General features: G+C 35.6%; 2 protein-coding genes across 41 annotated transcripts in view; one reads left to right on the top strand and one right to left on the bottom strand.

Moving 5' to 3' along the window:
• Positions 1–4,408, top strand: part of NSMAF (neutral sphingomyelinase activation associated factor) — a 76,350-nt gene extending 71,942 nt beyond the window's left edge. For 25 of the 31 annotated variants that reach the window (NR_182088.1, NR_182085.1, NR_182087.1 and 22 more), the window contains 5 exons: positions 211–294; positions 1,304–1,454; positions 1,912–2,014; positions 2,151–2,260; positions 3,712–4,404. Coding sequence is in view for 25 of the 31 variants with exons in the window: in NM_001412988.1 (NP_001399917.1) it covers positions 211–294; positions 1,304–1,454; positions 1,912–2,014; positions 2,151–2,260; positions 3,712–3,806 (543 nt within the window). In the remaining 6 variants the exon portion in view is untranslated. Of the gene's footprint in view, positions 1–210; positions 295–1,303; positions 1,559–1,911; positions 2,024–2,150; positions 2,773–3,711 lie in introns of those variants that run through there. The other 6 variants (NM_001144772.1, XM_047422320.1, NM_001412992.1 and 3 more) reach the window with 5 other exon arrangements.
• Positions 4,409–5,053: 645 nt separating this feature from the next.
• SDCBP (syndecan binding protein) overlaps positions 5,054–18,322 on the bottom strand; it is a 29,598-nt gene continuing 16,329 nt past the window's right edge. For 5 of the 10 annotated variants that reach the window (NM_001348341.2, NM_001348340.2, NM_005625.4 and 2 more), the window contains 7 exons: positions 16,947–17,025; positions 15,598–15,707; positions 11,851–12,012; positions 9,704–9,879; positions 8,118–8,289; positions 7,304–7,395; positions 5,054–6,226 (listed from right to left, as the gene is read on the bottom strand). In NM_001348341.2, coding sequence (NP_001335270.1) covers positions 6,172–6,226; positions 7,304–7,395; positions 8,118–8,289; positions 9,704–9,879; positions 11,851–12,012; positions 15,598–15,707; positions 16,947–17,025 — 846 coding nt within the window. In that variant the 3' untranslated portion in view covers positions 5,054–6,171. The remainder of the gene's footprint in view (positions 6,227–7,303; positions 7,396–8,117; positions 8,290–9,703; positions 9,880–11,850; positions 12,013–15,597; positions 15,708–16,946; positions 17,026–18,322) is intronic. The other 5 variants (NM_001330537.2, NM_001007069.2, NM_001007070.2 and 2 more) reach the window with 2 other exon arrangements.

Here is an 18,322-nt window from a genome sequence, read left to right as displayed (position 1 = left end):
CACACAGGTACAAGCAAGGGACAGTAAGCAAGCACATGCTGGTGGGAGAAAGTGCAGGCATAGGGAGGAGGAGCTGGAGCACTGTGCAGCTTAACTTTATTGGCAAGTCTGTTAAATGGAAATTGAGCATAGGAGTTTTTCTTGAATGCACTAGAAAATGACTTTTTGTTAAATGTTTGAAAATACCTTCTGCAATATGTTCCATCCTAGGTGTGGTCTGGTGTTCCTGCAGAGATGCCAGGCACCAAAAGACACCACTTTGACTTGCTGGCCGAGCTGGAACATGATGTCAGTGTGAGTACCAGCAACAAACTGTACAGAAAACTGACCTTAAAAGTCTAGGGGTTCGGCTGGAAGAAGGTTTTTGGTTTTGTTCATGTTGTTTTGCTTTATTTGGTTAATGGAAGATTATAGGCTAAATCTCAGTTCTTTTCTTTGTGTTGACTCTTTAGGTTTCCAAGTCTACTTTGTTTTGTTTTATTTTTTCTCCAAGTTACTTCTTTGCACATTTCCCTGAGAATTAGCTACCATCCAACTAGAATTCCAAAATAGTAGTTTCTGAGCAGGACGTTGAATATTTGGTACCCTCAAACTCTTTGGGGCAACAAGATAGGGCCTATGATCCTTCATGTTTTCTGATCCAGAAGCTGGAAGGGAACCATCTGTCCAGGAGACACCCATCCAACAGTGGGGGACAGTGACCAGCTGTCTGGGATGGTCAAGTACATGCAGCCTGTTGGCTCAGTTCTCACTTGCTCTGTTTTCTCTGGGTCACGCTGCTGCATCTTATGCTGTAGTTGACAGTACTGCCTTTTCTCTAAGGTTGTGAACTGATGCCTAATTTCCATGGTCTTCAGATTAGCTGAGTTTGAGAAATATTTAGTATGTAATTCATGATGATGTGCAAGTATAGCCTCGAGAGATTCCGCCACTCCCACAAATCCCTCAAATAATCATGGACTGGCTGTGCTTCAGGCACTTTGGCGGCTCACTATAATTTATTATTCATAGAGTTATCTTTCTGAGACTGTCAGTTTTAAGCTATTTTAAAACAGCATTACCTTTACTTTAGCAATACTTCATTTCTTCTTGTATTCCCTAGCTTATAAAGAATTTAATTTCATTTTTAAAATAAGTTATTCCGTAGGATGATGTTGAAATACATCTGCATTAGCAACACCGGCATACTGCACAATAGAGTTTAATTTATATCATGATGACTACATATTTGAACCAGACTAGAGAAACATAGCTAATGACCATAAATCTAATGGAATATGTATCAATGTGTTTTCTTCCTTAGGTAGATACAATCAGTTTAAATGCTGCAAGCACACTGTTAGTTTCCGGCACCAAAGAAGGCACAGTGAATATTTGGGACCTCACAACGGCCACCTTAATGCACCAGATTCCATGCCATTCAGGGATTGTATGTGACACTGCTTTTAGCCCAGGTAGATATTATCCTTTTTAAAACAGATAATACTAGGTAAATTGGAATTTTGAAATAAACAATATTGTTAATTTTGAAATAAACAATAAAACTTACAAAGAAAAACACTATTTGCTGATAAAAGAGGTTTTGCCAATGGCTAACACTGCTTTATGCCAGGGTACAGTATACTTGTGGCATTTGTATCAGGTAGAAAAGCCGGACTGGGTATTTTTAATTCCTCATTAGAGAAATTAATTTAAGATAAAAATGAACTCATAATCAAAGGGTCATCTCATCCTTACATCTTGGAAAGGGCTAGAACCATTTCAAGGAGAGGATAGTCATTGCTTAAGTACAAGGATTTTGAAGAAAACGAATGTGGAGATTAGGCCACTGGACTCAGAAATAAAATCCAGAATAATGTAAACCACATTCTGAAGCTGTCACTCATATCTGAGTCTCACCTTGTGTTGCAGATAGTCGCCATGTCCTCAGCACAGGAACAGATGGCTGTCTTAATGTCATTGATGTGCAGACAGGAATGCTCATCTCCTCCATGACATCAGATGAGCCCCAGAGGTATAGTTTGTGAGTTACTGGGGGCGAAGACATTTACAGACATGTTCATGATCACTTCATTTGGGCTTACATTGGCCAGTTCAACATATCCTTCCTTCATGATGAAGAAAGGACTATTTCTAAATCATTCTTGCAGGTGCTTTGTCTGGGATGGAAATTCCGTTTTATCTGGCAGTCAGTCTGGTGAACTGCTCGTTTGGGACCTCCTTGGAGCAAAAATCAGTGAGAGAATACAGGGCCACACAGGTAAGCAGCTACTGCAGTTGCCTTGATCTTTGTTCTCAAGATAATGAACTCAAGCCTGCCTTTTCCATCAGGGAACATACTCTTTTTGGGCAAAAAACACCCATGGTTTTTCCATGTCGTAAACATGTCCCTGGAGCCTCTTGATTGGCCAGGTGATCTGCATCTCGTAGGTTACTCAGGATTTAGATTTATGTTAACAGCCATTGGACTCCAAAAAGGAAGTCTTTAACTTTCATATGGAGAATTAAAAACCATCGTAAAGCTATTATTTTTCTTAAAGGTAATAGCATGATCTTAAATTTTTAGAATAGTAAAAAAAGAGAAAAAAAAAAAACCCAGAAACAATACAATAGGAACTACAATGAAAATTAAGGCTTCTTTCTACCGCTGACTCCTACCTCCCAGTCCTCCTTACAGTACTTTACCAGTGTGTGTCCTGTGAATAAGAGAGGGTATATGTGTATTAAATTGTTTATGTGAAGTATAATAAACTGTTCTGCCCATGTTTTTCATTTGGTAATATTTCTTGGAGATTCACTAGATTGTTTGCTTACAAATTCTTGCTTGCTTTCTGATCATTTGGAGGACTTGGTTTTTAATTCTTCTAGTGTCTCTTGTTATCCCTTGAGTTCCCACTGTAAGCAGTAACTTCCTACCTTCATTCTCTTCCCTGTGTCACTCGACTTCATATGGTTCTTCTTAAATGTATACCTTAAAAAGTCTGGGCCAGGCTCAGTGGCTCAGGCCTGTAATGCCAGCACTTTGGGAAGCCAGAGTGGGAGGTCAAGAGTTTGAGACCAGCCTTGGCAACATAGCGAAACCTCATCTCTTACTAAAAACCAGAAATATTAGAAAAGTGTGGTGACACACGCCTGTGGTCCCAGCTACTTAAGAGGCTAAGATGGGAGGCTAGCTTGAGCCCAGGAGACAGAGGCTACAGTGAGCTTCATCATGCCACTGTACTCCAGCCTGGGTAAGAGCAAGAGCGAGACTATTTCAAAAAAAATGAAATTCTTTGTGACTTTTGTTCTCAACTTAGTAACTTTAATGTGATTTGACCCCTTCCAGTGGAAAAGGAAATAAACCAATAACCTTACACCAATAACCCCACCTTTTCCTTCACATCTGTCTCCCAACTTTTGTCATGTTATACCTGTATTGTACTTACTTCGCCAAGGTATTTATTTGCATTGTTCTATATCCATAATTCCCAGTTGTTTTAGCTTTAGATTTACACTTAAATGGTTTAGTATTCCTCACAAGATCTTTGTACCAAGCAATTATTTTTAATTTATTCAAGGGTTTTATTATAGGAAGCAGACAAGAAAAAATAGAACTTACTTCACTTGTTTAGTAAATGAATAGCAAAGCAAGAGTAAGCATCAGAGTAAAGTTTATCTTTGGGTGCCTCCTGGTCAACTTCCTAACTAACCAAAATGTCTTTCTCTCAGGTGCTGTGACATGTATATGGATGAATGAACAGTGTAGCAGTATCATCACAGGAGGGGAAGACAGACAAATTATATTCTGGAAATTGCAGTATTAAGTGCCTTTTCCTCTCCTGAATATTAAATTGAACTCTATTTAATGCATTTTTAAACCAAACTTTTAAACGGACTGGTGAATGTGCAATGTTAGTAATTAGAAGTTTTACCACATGGAAAATTTGTGGTTTTAAACTTTCTAAATCATGGTGACTTCATTGAAAGCCATTAGTTGCTATTCTCTTAGGGCAGATAAAATGCGGCTGTGTTAGGAAAAACATGTTACACTGTAAGGCAGATGATCGTCCCCGTATGATGATTGTCAGAAGACAGGACTAAGTAGCAGAGAATAGCTAAGAGATAAATTGGGCTGGGGAAACTTGTCAGAAAGCACTGAACAATTAAGAAATTTTCCAAGAAAATGTGCAGTATTCTCTGCTACTTCTGAATCTGTTTTGTCTTCCTAATCTATCACAATTGCCACCCATCGGGTTTTGGGTGTGTGTTTTCATAGCGTGGTTACTTTCTATAATGCTGTACCCAGATTCTAAGAACCTGGAGAAGGATTAGCAGTTCTTAGTAAGTTTACTGTGTATAGGAACGGTTTGTATTTCATTACAGCTATTCATCTTTTCTACATTAAAAATATTTTTCTCTAAAGAAAGCTGTTTTCACTTTATTTAAGTAACTTAAAAGACTAGTGTTTTTAAGACCACAAGTCTAGAATCATCTTCTAGAAAACCATATTTAGTGATATGAATGTAATTCCATTATTTTGAAATTATCTTCAGACTCAGGTAGATAATCAAATATTTTTTTCTCTTCTAAATTTCAAACAAGGTAAGCTGTATAGCAGTAGCAGATTTCCTTTTATATTCAACCTCTGAACCATGGTAAGTGTGTGACTTATTATTTTTTCTATACTCTTTAAAAACATTGTTGTATCTTGCAGGTAGTATGACATAGGAGAAAAAACTTGAGTCAGACCACACTAATAGAATTTCCAAAGTCAGTTTCAGTGTTATTAAATATTACCTGGTCTCAGGTATTGCTAGGGACAATCAGTAGCCTCAATGAGTTCCTGCTGCATGGCAGGTGTGAACCAGCTCTTCTTTTGGCCCTGGTAATCTGGGGTTCCCAGCTGGAAGCAATTTTCCTGACACTCAGTCTCAGCACTGAGAGCTGTTCTTAGGGCCCCTGAATGTCAGCTTGTTCTGGGAGATGATGTCTCCCACAGCTGAAAGTGAATTTCACCTGCCTGTCTTCTAGATCATGCATAAGTTTGGTGAAAGCAAATGATGCAGTAATAGACAGACTAAAATGTAACTTTATTTATACATATTTAATTAGAATAGACATAAACCAAAAAGAAGAAAAAAATCAGGATAAAGTGTCAACTATCATTTTGTTTGCAAGGAGGAGTCAGGAAAAGGAACAAGTTATCAGAAAAATATTCTAAGACCATCCCAAAGTAGCTAGGTTACATAATCTTAAGAGTCAAATGCCAAAATTAAGTATTATACCACTTAATCCACAAATGAACAAAAGGGGAGTCAAAAGTTTATCCTGTTTAGTGTAATAACTTTTACATCACATATAGTGATTCACTTCTTAAAAGTGGCACTGGCAACTTTTAGAAGAAAGAAGTTTCCATTATGTGTTGACTAAAAAATCTCAAAAACAACTAAGCAGCTATGCTATAGCTCAGTAAGTACCATTAAACTGTTCTGGGCTAGTGTACATTTCAGGTTAATAGAGAACTACATTTTGGGTTTTTAGAAAGGCAGCAATAATTATATTTTGGCTTTTAGTCTAGATGCTTAACATAGTTAAGGCGACAGTTCAAGCATATTAAGTGAAGGTAGTTAAAATTTAAGAATCATCACAATCTCTTGAAACCTACATACACTGTTTAATGCTTACATGGAATGAAACCAGTGTTCTTAATTGGCATTTTACACACACACACACAGAATTTAAAAAAAAAATCAAAGGCAATCATTCTAAATGTACTATGATAGCATGTTAAAGATGCAAGTATGCTATAGAACTAAAGTAATATGAACAGCACTACTCATTACCTAGGAGAAAGGTGACTGGTTTTCACACAAAGCTAAGCCTGTAACAGTCATCCTAATCACAATGGCTTATAAAAGCATCAGGTTTCCAGTAGAGAAACTATTCTAGGAAAGTCAGTAAATCTCTTGAAAGTTTCACATCTGTAAAACCAGGATAAGGCTACAACTATTTTGAAATCTGAACAAGGTATCAGATGAAAGAGTAAGATTCCCAGCCATAATGTAAGATAGAAAGGTCCTCATGCAGCATATGCTCGCTGGCTCCGGGAAGGCTTCACGTGCATAATACAGAAGTTGCCAAAGAAGGAAACTGGAGACGTTCAGCTACATTTCCATGGTGCCGTGAATTTTAAACCTCAGGAATGGTGTGGTCCATTAGGCTTTTCATAATGCTTGGTGCCATCCTACAAGAGAGGTACTTTTATTATATACCGAGATTCTGGTTTTTGTTTTTCAAAATGCTACATTAATCCAAGAAAATTCCCAATTCCAATTTAGCACCTGTTAGCATCAAATATGAATGGAGAGAAGGGAAAGATCTTTTAAATGAGTCCAGAAGCATCTCTGGTAATCTAGTTGTTGACAGACACTCAGTGGGAAAGACTATCTGTATTTGGCTAGAGAAGTTAGGATACAAATGAATTCCTGTGCATTAAACATGGTGATTTTTAAAAAACAGAAAGAAAATGACAAGGCTGTGATGAGTTGGGGTAGAGGGATCCATCAGTGATTTAAGAAAAGAGAACCCTAGAAAAATTAGTCATGACAATAACTCCTTTTTACCCCCTCCAAGGGTAGCTAGGTGCATTCTATCCAGAAGCCAACACAAAAATTTCATTACAATGGTTATGTTTATGAATCTTTTAAATCTCATTTTCACATGCATAATAGAGCTTCTGAAAGGATTCCAAGCTGGCTTGACAAAAACAGCTATGGTAGATGCTAGGATATGAAAAGCTCTATAGAAGGAACCTTGTTGCCTCTTTTCAGTTCTGATCACTTGGCTTTCTAATCCTCAGTTCCTGAGCACAGATAGCACCAACACACCACACTTGTCTATCTGCCTCTTGAGATTCTGGAGAGAAGGGAAACTTACTCTTAGCATTCCACCAGCAAGAATTCTCCATTACGAACCACCACAACTATATTTATACTGAGCAGAGGGGTGGTAGGCAGTGCAACTGCAGTCAATTGCACTGCAAATTGAAAGCTGAAAGCATGCCCACTTCTCCTTGCATACCTTTTTTCTACCAGGCATTATAAAAACTGAGGAAAGTATATGTGAATTTTATTCCGTACTTGGGAAGTTGTAAGAGCTCATCCTTACCAACCCTCTGATTTAAATAACTTACTTCAAATTTCTAGATAAAACACCAGTATCCATTCCTTGGGTAAAAGAACCAAAGGGCTGAGAATTAAAGTATAGTGCTTATATTAAGTCACATGACCATATGCATTAAGTTGAGGAATTGTTTACTTACCGCTTAATAATATGTTCAAAGATAAAAGCAGGCATGATTGTAATAGTAACTACAGTCCCAGATGTTGACAGTATGTCTGCAATTTGAGAGTCCTGATAAAAACACATATTAAAAATTAATTCCACAGAGGCTTTATTTAATAAATACAAAACTATGCCAGTCTTGGTAAAGAAATACAAAATATATGTCTTGGTATTTCTAATTTTTTCTAGTATTTCTTACCAAGTTTAATTGTACACTATTTTACAGCTAGTAACCAAATTGCTTAAGTAAACTGAGTTGAATATTTTAACCAAAAAAAAACTTTTCCTTTCTGAATATTAGATAATTTTCCCCATATACAATATTACCATCTCCTCTTATTAACTGTGTATTCTAAATCAAATTCTATGAAATGAGGAGGTCATGCTTAAAACTTTTTGACCTTAAGACAGACTTATTTAGGAATTTGTGGAGGAGAAAAACTATAAAAATAAAGTATTAATATGAACCAAAACTATTATTCATTTCCTTATATTCCTGGATTGAGAAATGCTGGGCCACTATTCATATTCTAAATCTTTGTTGCCCATATTTCCACAGAATTCTAGTGTGAGGTACTTCTGAGATCATTTATTCCAGCCCACTTGTTATAGGAACTGTAGTTCTAGATGACAGCCCAAATAATTCCGGTGACTGGCCAGACCAAGAGTTCAGGCCCCACGTTCCCCATCTCCCACCTAAGTCAATATGAAAACAGCGCCACCTAAATACAGTCAAAAGACAGACATTTTCTAAAACTGCAGCAGAACATGGCACAAAGTCTGTTCCTTACCTTCAATCCAATGACATTCTGTCCATTGATTTCACAGATGTTATGTTCCGTGAGAAGACCATTTCTGGCTGCAGAGCTATCTTTCACTATGGATGTTATTTTTCCATTTTTAAAGATAAAACCAACATGTCCAGTGCTATCCTTATGCATGGTAATCGTCCGTTCAAAGGGCCTACAAACATAATTGGTTCAATTAAAAACTTAATTCTAAGCTAAACATTTTAATGGATTTCATATAGCATAAATGTTGCCATATTGGATACTTTTATAATAAACACTGTTTCTAATAAGAGCAACTTATGGCTCTGATTTTATACATTCACGGAACATCTTTGTGTAAAAGTTTTTTTTAAGTTTATTCATTATGGTTTGACTGATTTACTAATCAACATTTCCTTCTTTAAGTATAAAAGACAACTGCTTTATATGGTTTTATCAATATGTTTTTCTTTTATAATTAGACTTTACAGCATTAAGAATGACATAGGCTTTTTAACTAAATCACAGTGGTAAAGATAATTTTTATTTTTTATTAACTTTTGGTATTTTCTAGAGCCAAATCATTTTTAGGACTATTTCTTTTATTTAAAACCTTTAAAATATTTCTCACATCTTGATTTTGAAAATTTTATACATTGCTATCTTTGAAAAGAAAAACTAGAGCAGCAGTAAGACTTAAGTTCCTCAAGCCCCTTTGGAAAGGGAGGCATGCAGCTATTATTAAAAGGCATCCAGCTGTCCCTCTAGAGTTGTTATAGCAGTCACATTTGCTTGATTCTCTATAAACTCTGTTATCATGTTATCATAAGGGTTTTAGGATCAACTTGTGTTTACATTATTAAATTCAGAAGAGGCATTTCTTCCTGTTAGTACAACTTACTCTTTGAAACTCTGCTTAGATAGAAAGTAAAAAGGACATTCATCTGAAACATTTACGAAATACCTAAACTGAATGAGAAACTGGAAACACAAAGATAAAACAGAAGTTTCACTGAGAAGGAACAAAAACTCAAAGCTTACTGTAACAATGCAATATACGTCTACCCTTAATTGGGTATGGAGTAGACAAGAAAATAAATGGAGGCCCCTATTTCATGTGCTAAATGTTTAAGTTCTAAATGAATGAGCTGCTAAATAGAATATTCCATGTTCTTGAAAACTACTGCTTCATAACTACCCAAAAGTCTTGATACGGTTTTCAGAACTCCCATACTACTTGGAAGTCTGCATGGGCTCTGACCCTCACAATGAGGGACCACTGTGTGTGAACACCCTAGGCTGGATGTATCTAAGCAGTAAGTTGGAAAGTGAGCCCAGAGATGCCCTGCAACTCAGTTACTTCTCCAACATACGTTTTCTATTTTCTAGAGAGATTTGTCCTATAAACTCTGAAATAAGGTATCGTATCAGAATGCTTTAAAAACAATGTAAGAAAAATCTGCACCACACAACTGCAAGACTATAAGGCTCATCAATAACATTTGATCATTTTCTGCAACAAAATAATATACTCACAAACTCTGAAAGCCCAAAAAAATGGAAAACTAGTATTGAATTTTCATTTGAGCTGTTTAGTAACAGCTTACCTGTCACGAATGGTCATGGTAATCTTCTCTCCAAAAGCCTGTTTGAGCACCTTGTGCGCTTTATCAGAGCTCCATCCTGCACAGTTTTCACCATTGATCTGAAGTACTTGGTCCCCAAATCTCAGACCAACCAATGAGGCTGGAGAATTAGCCTGGACTAGCTGAACAAATATACCCTAGATAATAAGAAAATAATTTTTGTCATTTACCACTACTATGATACGGTTTTAAACGCTGGAAAATTAGGAAACAACTGTTTATGTTGAAAACTCTACCCCAGTGACAAAAAAGAAAGAAAAAGAAAAAAAGGAAAAACTATATGAGTATATTAAGTTATCACCTCAAAAGAAACTGAAAAATTTATCAAGACAGCAACTCCAAAGAATAAGGCAAAAAAGTGAGATTTCAATGGCAATTTCTATACCAAATCATGACCCACCTGACCAACCACAATCCCCCCCTTCAACTTGGAATACAAAACTAAGGAAAATACAGTAGGACAACTTTAATAAATGCAAGCGTCTGAGTCTGATAGAATACCAAATTATCAGTACATAATCATATTTAGGGGAAAAGCGAGTCACATGTTAGAAAGTTTGATGAGTTCTTTTACAGCTTAATAAATGACAGTTTAAGGTCATAATTCTACCTTTTGAGCTGAAGCATTCCTTTACCCATTTGCTAAATTGTGTATAATCAAGTAAGATTAAAGTTTATTTGTTAGACTAAAAAGATGGGCATATTAAATCCACATGCACAGGCTTATAAAGAACACACAATGAAATAAATACAGAAAACTCAAATACTGTTAACCAATAACTACACTCACATGGATATTTTTACTTATGTAAAATCTCAATCAGAAGTTGAACAAAATATAAATAGGTAAGTATAAAAGAAGAATAAGCCTGGTAAAATATAAGTGCATCTACTTCTACAATCCTAAGCTAGGTCACATATTTCTATCACACATCTGTTACATTGTAGAATGATAAGCAAGAACTAGGTAGCACCCCATAAATGAACAAATGCCCTTTGGCCAAGTGAACAAATCCACTGCAACTATTACCTACAGTGGGGCCAAGGGGCCTATGAAAAGTATCTTTTCTCTTTAGGACAGAGGAAAGAACACAAGAGCAATCCTGGCGGAAGGAGCAGCAGTATACTCTATTCCCTGAAGATTCTGGAGAAAGGGCAGCAAAGTCAGAGCATCCCAACTAAGCACGCAGATGTATTTTGAGTGACATACAAGTGAGCAAGGCCATCATCGATGGCCTCAGCCCCCTGGGTGGGCAGGCAGGGCGGGGGCCTCCTGCCAAGATCAGCCTCCTCCATTTACAGCAGTGCACCACACTTATAATTTTCTATGTGGAAAGGCTGGATGCACTAAGCTAGAGATGTATGACTGAAACCGAATCCAATAAGGTAATGGCTAAAACTATAAATTGGGGTAAAGACTCAACATGTCCTTCACAATTATAAATGGTTCCTCAGAGAGTAACCCTGTTTCATATCTTCAGTATGTTAAGGTGAGAGGTAATTATAAAGTAAAGGCTGCCCTAATTAGAAAGAATATTCCATCTTTTTTTACTCAGAAAATGACATATTAAATTCAAATGTGAAGGATGTTAATAACAAATCTGCAAAAACCATCTCACCAGTTAAATACTGATCATTTGGTTTAAAAATGCACACACATCCGGGAGGCAGAGGTTGCAGTGAGTCAAGATCACACCACTGCACTGCAGCCTGGCGACAGAACGAGACTCCGTCTCAAAAAAAAAAAAAAAAAGGCACACTGACATTGACTCTCATTGGAAAGTTTTTTCTTAACCTTCACATCTGCTCTATTTAATTGCCACAATTCTATTATACAAACTATAATATATGTAGGCCAGTGAAATGTATTCCAGTTAGAATATTCAGAAAAGAAACATCTTTCAAAGTAATGTGGTCAGAAGTCCCAACTATGCCTCTGCAAAATAGAACATCCCCAATTGAAAACATTTAAGTTAGTAGATTTAAAATATTCTCAACTACAGATGCACTATTATAATTAAAGCATTTCCATTTCAAATTATTTTAACATTAATCACTTATTATGTAAGAGATTTAGACAAATTCAAATAGGTATTTAAAATACTTACATTATCTATTGATTTAAGCCTGAGTCCAATTTTTCCATCTTGATCCTTACACAAAATGACTTCACGAATCCCTTGCTTAATTTCTGCTCTACGAATTCCAACATCATTACCAGTTACAGGAGCCACCATATAGTTTATACTGGAAGGTCTTGCTACCAACTGCTGACAAAACCATATACAATGTGTCAATATCTAGAAACACTCTCCTTGAAAAAAACAATGATAATTAACTGGAACTTACTCAGTTTTGGCTTTCCAAAAAGCAATCCACAAATAATTTCCTTCCGATAAAGTTTGATGTCTATGAAAATGGCACTGGCTCTACTACTAATTCTTCACTAACTTATTCCCACACATATCATCTCTAATAGATTCAATGACTCTCTGTTGCCCTTTGAATTCACTGGCATTTGTTTCACCGGTATACTGGCTTGTCTTCATCTCAAATTTATTATCTTTGAACTTAAAGGCCATATACTTTTGAAACATTTTCCAGACGGTTCATGATGTCACGATCTTTGACAATCTACTTATCCTTTCAGAATTTCCATAAAAGGGGCAAATTTCTTACCTCACTGTTACTGACAGGATTAAATGAAAAGTGCATGTTGTATGGGCACTGGCACACATAAGACAGTCAACTATTATGTCTCTTCCCCTCTAGTAACCATCTATGGATTAACAAATCATATGCACAAACCAGAATGCCCCAGAATACCTACATTAGGGACCTGTGTCATATACCATGTTTCAAGTTTCTAATTCTTTCCAGTTTTCCTAATCAAAACTGGTTTATTTTAAGTGGAACCTTTCCCCAACCAAAAAGAAAATGGAATAATATTAGGCCACTAAAAAAAGGAAATCCTGCCATTTGGACAACATGAATAAATGTAGAGAATATTATTCCAAGTGAAATAAACCAGACACAGAAAGACAAGTACTGTCTGGGTCCCACTTATATGTGGAATCTGAAAAGAGTCAAACTCACAGAAATAGAGAGTAGAAGGAAGGTTGTCAGGGGCTGGGGTTGGGCAGGGCAAAGAATGAGAAAAATGTTGGTCAAAGTGTACAAACTTTCTCAGTTATCATATGAGTACGTTCTGGAGATCTAATGTACAGCATAGTAACTATAATTAATAATACTGTACGGTATACTTGAAAGTTGCTAAGAGTACATCTTAAGTGTTCTCACCACACACCAAAAGAAATGTAACCATGTGAGATGACAGATACGTTAATAACCCTGACTGTGGTAATCATTTCACAATGTGTGTTTGTGTGTGTTTATCAATACATCAAGTTGTATTGATATATACAGTTGAATATATACAATTTATATTTGTTAATTATACCTCAATAAAGCTGGGGAGAGGAAGATCCAGATGGAACATCAAGAGAAGAAGAATAAAATATGTGAAATGAAAAATTCACTAGATATGAAGAGATAACAGAAATCTCCAGCAACAAATTAATTTAAAATAGAACAGAAGAAAAATAAAAGGCGGCGCACTGAAGAACCCTGGAGATGCAGACACAAAAATGAAGGTTATATCACCCTTCTAGGTATTTGGGCAAAGGGATCTAAGCATCCATGTAGTGAACAAAGGAAGTTCTAAATTTTAACTACAGCCTCATGATCAGTTACTAAAATAAGAATCAGAGCAGCTATGACTCTGTTCTTCTTTGTATTTGTATATTTTCTGTAAATACAGCAATTAATCTTTCTGTTCCTCTATACCTCTTTTTACCTTTATGTATGAATTGTTGGTAGTGGTTAACTTTACACTTTTGCCTTTAAATTAAAAATATTCTGTTGGGAATGTGAATACTTAGAAGGGTAATTAGTATCATATAGTAATCAATACCATGATGACTGCCCAGAGATGGCCACATTAACTGGTATCATCCCTTTCTAGAGAAAGGGTGAGAGCAACTTCATTTATATTGAAGGGTACATGGCTTCATTTTGTACACCCCTGAGTTAAAAATGATTTTTATATTTTTAAAGATTGTAAATAAACAAATAACAATAAGAATATGTGATAAAGATCATAAGTGACCATGAAAGCCTAAGGTATTTATTATGGAGCCCTTTATAAAGTTTGAACTTTGATTTTATGAAGAAATTCATCTTTCAAGGAGAAACTATAAAGTTGTTGTTGTTGTCACATGAAATTCAAATGTTTGTACAAGTGTGTGGATATACTGAGTAGTCAAAGGAGTAGGTGGTAACAGATATTAAACTACTGTTTGTCAGCTCCAAATCCACCCTTCTAGACTCTACTTGGTGATGCTGGGCCTAACTGTGCAAATTATAATTTCGTTTGTCAGTGACTGGAATGACAAGCACCTCATTCCTTCCTGTGTGCCTCCTGCTCCTGTCAGTACTGTGTAAGCCTGGCCCTTTACACTGGCAGCAGCAGTTGGTTCCAGTCTGCAACTTTTACTGACACTCCCAGAACCAGCCTCATTACAACCCCTCAGAGGCACTAGTAGTGTCCCCTCATCCAAGGTCTGAGTCCCAGCTCCGTGGGGCTCTTCCTCAAGCTTCTAGGTTCTGCTAACTCCAATCTCTCTCCTGTGTTATCCCAGTCCTAGGAGAAGCAGCTAGCTATCTGCAATTACATCTATGTCCATTTATGTTTTTTTCAATTTTTCAACCTCTTAAAATACCTACTATTATTTGTTTTCCCAACTGCATCACCACTAACACAAGCAAGTTTTCAATAAATATTTGGTAAATACATAAATGCCAGGTACTGTATATGCATTGGGATATGGCAACAAGACAGACACAGATTTAACTACAATTATAATAAGTGGTACAAAGTGCTATGGTCATAGCAATAACCTTAATAAAAGGTTATCAGACCCATTATAATTAAGCTAGACTCTGGAGTCTAATTACATGGAGCTTTGAATTTCAAAAAGAATGTTAAAAGATTAAGAGCAAAGGCCAGGCACAGTGGCTCATGCCTGTAATCCCAGCACTCTGGGAGGTCGAGGCAGGTGGATCACCTGAGGTCAGGTGTTCGAGACCAGCGTGGCCAACATGGTGAAACCCGGTCTCTACTAAAAATACAAAAAATTAGCCAGGCATGGTGGCGCGCGCTTGTAGTCTCAGCTACTTGGGAGGCTGAGGCAGGAGAATTGCTTGAACCCAAGAGGCGGAGGTTGCAGTGGGCCGAGATCACGCCATTGCACTCCAGCCTGGGTGACAAAGTGAGACTATGCCTCAAAAAAAAAAAAAAAAAAAAAAAAGATTATGAGCAACAAAGATATGATAGACCTATATGTGTATTTCAGAATGATTAACTTAGCAGCGGCTTAGTACTGTCTGAAATAAGTTACTAGAGGAAATTTAAGAGAGTACTATAATAATGAAGGCTAGAAGTATAGAAACCCTGAATATGGTTATAGTAGGACTAGAATGGATAAAAAACAGATAAAATGAATACAAGAAACAGAAACAGAATCAATAGGACTTAGTAACTGACTAAATGCAGAAGACAAAGGAGAACGAACTAGTAAAAGGTATCTGAATCTAAGTCCTAATAAACTCAAAACAGTGTAGCACAAAATGAAGTAGACTATATAAGAAATGATATCCAAAAGGAAGTCTAAAATTTCTGAGAAGTGAGGTTCAATGCTAGTAGTATATCTGTGAGTTAGCCACAAAGAGGAAAGCTTATACTAACATGTAAAGTATGATTTTATATAAATCAAAATTAATTACACTATACATACCCCCTGAAGTGGTGCACCAGAAACCACGGCCACATTTGCACGTATTTCTTCTTCATTTAAACTCAGCCCCATGTATTGAGAGAGCTCTGGATACAGTCTGGGATAGAGATCTAAAAAGTAAATGAATAAATTAAAAAGCACTTACAGAATACACAAAATGAAAACTTCTCTCATTATGGGCTTCTGCGTATTAACAAAATTACACTTAAGTTATAAAATCTAGAATGAATTTAAAGTAGCAATTTGGAAAGGCATCTCCCCATCTCTGTAATAATGAGAAATGGAAAATACAGAAAATGTTTAAAATTCGTAAAATATGAAGACATCTGAACTGAAACAACCAGAGATTCCTAAACACTCAAAAGTAGAAATAACTTTTCCAAATAAACTATCTTGCCTTTCCTGTTTCTTAAAATAAACTTACTTGATTAGGAATTTAGTAAGAATGCCACTGATTCTCCAATTCAGAACAACTGACCAAAATATCTATTTGTCAAGTCAGCTACTTTATAACTCATTCTGTAAACAGGGATATGGAATGATTCTTATGAACAATTTTTTTTGGAAGCTTGTAAATTTATTTAGTGTCTTATCATTTTAATAATTTTAACCACATTCCAATGAAATCCTGGAAATGGTATTTTTAAATATTAACATTATTTCACTTATTAGTAGTTATATACTATTTCCAAAAGCTCTTTTTTACATGAGACTTAAATTATCTGTGACTTAAAATGAATTTTCTATGAGGCACAATGTTATAAACTGTTGTAAGACAAAATGACAGGCCACAAAAACTTATTTAACACTTATTTTGTATCTTAAGTCATAGTATTTAGGAGCTCTGTCCTGAATCCCTCTGAACCTTGAAGAAAAAGGGACCAAAGACAGGATACAGAGAATGAATAAAGGCCTTAAGATTTAGGAGGCTTCCCAAAGAGGAGGTGGTTGGAAATTTCAGAAGCTCCCATAGGAAAGACAGAAGACAATTCAGAAAGTTCAACAGCAGCAGCATGATAGTTCTTAAATGTGAATTCATATAGTTCTCATATGTGAATTCATATATATAATTCATTCATAAATGAATCAGCCACGTTAGGGATTTACAAGTCAGTCTAAAATTAATTTTCATTAAGCCATGAAATACATCCCCATATCCACAGTTCACTATCTTAATTAGAAAAAGGGTTATTTTTTGAAGTAAACTTTTTTTTCTTATTCATAACTATTTGAGCTTAACTACCAATTTTATGCAGCCTGTCCAAAAAAAAATCTTGGATTCCTTATATGAGCAAAAGAAGATAACAATATTTCTGTTCACAGAGAATGAACTCAAAGTATAAACCTACTTCCATCGTGAGGGATAGGAGCAGAAGCTTCTGACAAAATTGCTGGATTGGCAGGGTTTGCAGAAAAAGCAGTTTGAGCCTGAAAAAGAAAAGAAGAAAATTCTAACAATATGCTATACTTACTTTATATTCTTATATAATTTATAAGCTAAATCCAGTACTTCCAAAAAGAAACTAAAACAATGAAGATTTATGTAAGAAAGTTTAATTTCAAACACATCAGCAATACATTTTCCAAAGGAAATCTGCAAATCAAAACTATATTTGATATTCTAAATACTTTTAAGGCTATCACAAAAAAATTGTAGAAGTACCATTCTACATGTCTTATAACCAGCACTTCATAGTGCTGCCACAATAAATTAATATTTTCAAAGTGCATTCTAAAATGAATAAATTTTACATTTTCATTATTCTTTTACTAATTAGTCCAAGTAAAAATATTTTATTTGCATAAGAAAAAACCTTACCCATATTCATATAAAAGTCACATATCAGAAAAACACCTAAAAAATTAATACTAAGCATGTCCCACTGAAATCATCTTTATCTTCATTGCAGCAAGTATAGGAAGGGGTTTATGCTAAATACTTTTAAAATATCAGAAATTATGAAAATAGCACAGTTTATCACTGACATAAATCGATGATGACAAGGTAATGTAATTTGTAACTGTTAAACAAACTTGCCAAAATCACTCTGACACACTCTGACACTCTAGCATTTATCAATGCTACTCATGCTCAAGTATCCTCTTCTCAGGGCTGTCTTGATGGCCTACATCATATGAAGTATCTCACTGATGGAAATACTTTATCCTTTACAATTAGATCTGACTTTCTGAAATAGCTATATGTCATTAGAGACAAGTTTGGTAATAAGTTGTATGACCAATCTCTACCAACTTTTTACTTTATTGGAAATGTATCATTTTAAAAATGAAGTTCATAGTAGTATCTCAACCTAGCCCTAAAATCAATGTCAAGAGTATTCCCAAAGATGCTTGGAGATATGAAAGCTTAGTTTAAATAAGTAAAGCCTATGAAAGCTTTGAATGGTACTAAAATTATATGTTCTGATATACTTGTTGAGTCATCCTTTAATATTTATTATTTCATAATTTGTTAAACATTCTAGATTTAAACAAAATACAGCATGAAAATCTTTATAATTATAAATAACAATCCACAAATTGAACATGTGTTGAACTTTGAAAGTTCTTTCACCACCGATTAGCTAAAAGGAGCTAGTGGCTTGTTATATTACTTCTTGAATCATGTCTAACAAAAAAAATACTGTGCGGCACTGGGAAAAAAAAAAGAACTATAAAGACATGAAAAGACATGGAGGAAACTTAAGTGGATATTACTAAGTGA

The sequence above is a fragment of the Homo sapiens genome, chromosome 8 (genome assembly GCF_000001405.40).
Source record: "Homo sapiens chromosome 8, GRCh38.p14 Primary Assembly".
Taxonomy (NCBI): domain Eukaryota; kingdom Metazoa; phylum Chordata; class Mammalia; order Primates; family Hominidae; genus Homo; species Homo sapiens.
This window is presented reverse-complemented; position numbering and strand designations above follow the sequence as displayed.